Source organism: Homo sapiens, chromosome 14 (genome assembly GCF_000001405.40).
Source record: "Homo sapiens chromosome 14, GRCh38.p14 Primary Assembly".
In the NCBI taxonomy this organism is placed as follows: Eukaryota; Metazoa; Chordata; class Mammalia; order Primates; family Hominidae; genus Homo; species Homo sapiens.
The window spans coordinates 47,965,340-47,968,029 of NC_000014.9; the positions used below are offsets into that span (position 1 = coordinate 47,965,340).

The 2,690-nt window shown below is 35.2% G+C and overlaps 1 annotated feature.

Annotated features, from left to right (window-relative positions):
* Window positions 973–1,593: an enhancer, noted in NCBI's record as "OCT4-NANOG hESC enhancer chr14:48435515-48436135 (GRCh37/hg19 assembly coordinates)". NCBI's record gives its function as "activates a minimal SCP1, AML or CMV promoter by ChIP-STARR-seq in naive H9 embryonic stem cells {active_cell/tissue: H9 hESC(naive)}" and the evidence as "EXISTENCE:reporter gene assay evidence [ECO:0000049][PMID:30033119]".

Here is a 2,690-nt window from a genome sequence, read left to right on the forward strand (position 1 = left end):
ATATATTTCATTATTTTTAGCATGCATACAATAAATATTTGTTTATAACTCATGTTACACAAATTCTTATAATGAGGGAAATACCTATACATTATGATTTATTTCAAACATAAACATGATATACAACTAGCCTTGGCTAATTCTTCTATAGATATTCGTGGGTTTTTGGAAGGGAACCAGTAATTCTACATTTTTGATGACTACTAAACACTCCTCTGGTATTAAAATCACAAATGTTAGATTTGGCCTATTTTTCTGAAATAGATTGAGTCTACTTCCAACATTAAACATCTGGGGGATTTAACGTTTAAATCTGTATTTCTATTTCTCCCCACAAAATTTAGGGTTCTAACAATACTAGACACATTGGATTATAAGCTGTGACTACCACATTACAGCTGGTATGGGCACTTCGGTTCACCACAGTGCACTACTCCCTATTGAAGATACAGACTACTACCCCTCCCTATTAAAGATATCTTACTCAGTGGTTTTTTTTTTGTTGTTTTTCTTTCTTCTTTTGTTTTTTAGAGACAGAACCATGTCACCCAGGCTGCAGTGCAGTGACACGATCATAGGTCACTGCAGCCTTAAACTCCTGAGCTCAAGTGATCCTCCTGCCTCAGTCTCCCAAGTAACTGAGACTACAGGCATGCATCACCACACCAGGCTGATTTTTTAAAATTTTATTTTTTGGTAGAGACAGGGTCTTGCTATGTTGCCCACACTGGTCTCAACTCCCAGCCTTAAGCAATCTTCTCACCTTGTTCAACCAAAGTGCTAGGATTACTGGAATGAGCCCCTGTGCCTGGCAAAGACCATGCTTTATGATAACCACTTGGCCCCTGTGTGCATTTCAAATGGGGATCCCAGCTTTATTGCTTTTTCCTGTCTTTCTTGTGAGACAATCACTTTGATCCCCTGAGGTTACTACATTTTGTCATACCTGGTTAAACAGGCTGCTTAACTGCTTAATGTAACATGCTCATTATATCAAGGCTGTAAATACATTTATAACAAATGTGATTTTCTTTGTAAAGGCACAGGAGTATCCTTTATTTTCCAATTAGAAGCACTAATGACTTATGATTGTGATTATCGTGGAATGTATCCCTGAAATATAGTAGATTATTGATTATATTAAATGATACTCCTCTTGTGGTAGTAAGATAATAGTAAAAGCCTAGCTTGGGCTCATGCTCACAAATGTTCCATCAAAGGCAAAAAGCAAAGGCAGACCTCAGGGATCACTATTACACTACTTAACCTTGGAGATGGTTTTGTGATAACAAACAGCAGGGGCTAATGAGAAATGGCAGCTTTCCACTTTCATGAGGATCGGCCTGGCCATCAGGGCCCAAAGACTGCTAAAATAAAGCCAGGAAGTGAAAAGGTTTGAAGTCATTCCAGGAAAAGTCTAGGGGAATTAATAATTCAGGAAAAGCTAGAATTAGAAAAATATAATTTGTAGAAAGGAGAATTTTGTGAAATCTTGTAAGAAATAAAATAGGCAAAATGTTGAATGGTGTAATTAGTGGTGACTTTTGAGTAGGAAAATGTGGGTTTAGGTCCTTATGCATTTGATATTTAGCTGTTTAGATATTTATTTGTTTAGCTATTTGATAGTTATTAGACTGGCAAAATTTGTTATCTTCTCTAACTTGTTTCCTCATCTCTATGTGGCAACTATACCTGCTTAGCGAAAAAATTTTAAGATACTTACACATATTTATGTGTGTATGTGTATTTTTATATATGTACATACATGTAGTAGGCATATAATTAATCGATATCAGGCATTGTTGCTACTATGTCTATTATATTTATCCCTACTACACCTATTACTGTGTGCTGTGTTCTTCCACCTATCAGTCTCTATAACGTTGAGCAAAAGTTGTGAAGTGGGATAAACTTTTCCATGTGCTATATGGAGACAACTTTTCACAATCTAAAATTGATGATCCATATGTTTTATTTCATTAATTATTTAATTGCATTTAATTACAACTTCAAGAAGAGTCTATTTAAAAGAATCAAAAACAAAACTGGATGCCCTCTTCTAATTCCTGATGAGATTTTAGGAATTTGGTACCAATATTCCTATTAGACTTGCTCCCCCATTCAGCACCCGACTGTGTGAACTCTTTTCCAGTATTCCAGTATCAACAAAAATAATCCCAATTACTTGTAAATCCAACAAGATATTTGCTAGAAAAAAAGAGGAATGCTATGTATGAAAAACAAACAAACAAACATACAAAAAAAGACCTCTGTTGCTATTGACTTGAAAGGATCTCAGGTACTCTTCTCCCTGCATAGCTTCCCTGAAATTCAGAATTCTGTATCTTCACCCTTGAGCTCAGAGAAGAAAGGGAATCTAGAAGCTGGATTTGGTTCATGAGGTCCCATGCAAATCTGTAGCCCTTGACCAGGGCCTTTCTTTTTTTCTCTTTTTGATCAGACTTAGAAACATAGCTTTCAAATGGTCCTTGTCATTTATTCATTGGTCATTTCAATCAGAGAAGGAAAGTAATATTAGTTGGATTCTAAACCTCAGAAAAATTTTAGAAACTTTGTTTTCTTTTTACTAGAGGTGATATCAAATGTAGGAATGAGGACTGACTTAAACTTGGATTAATGTAAATATTTGGTATTATCAGCTGAATATATTTACTTTACCTTTAAGAAAT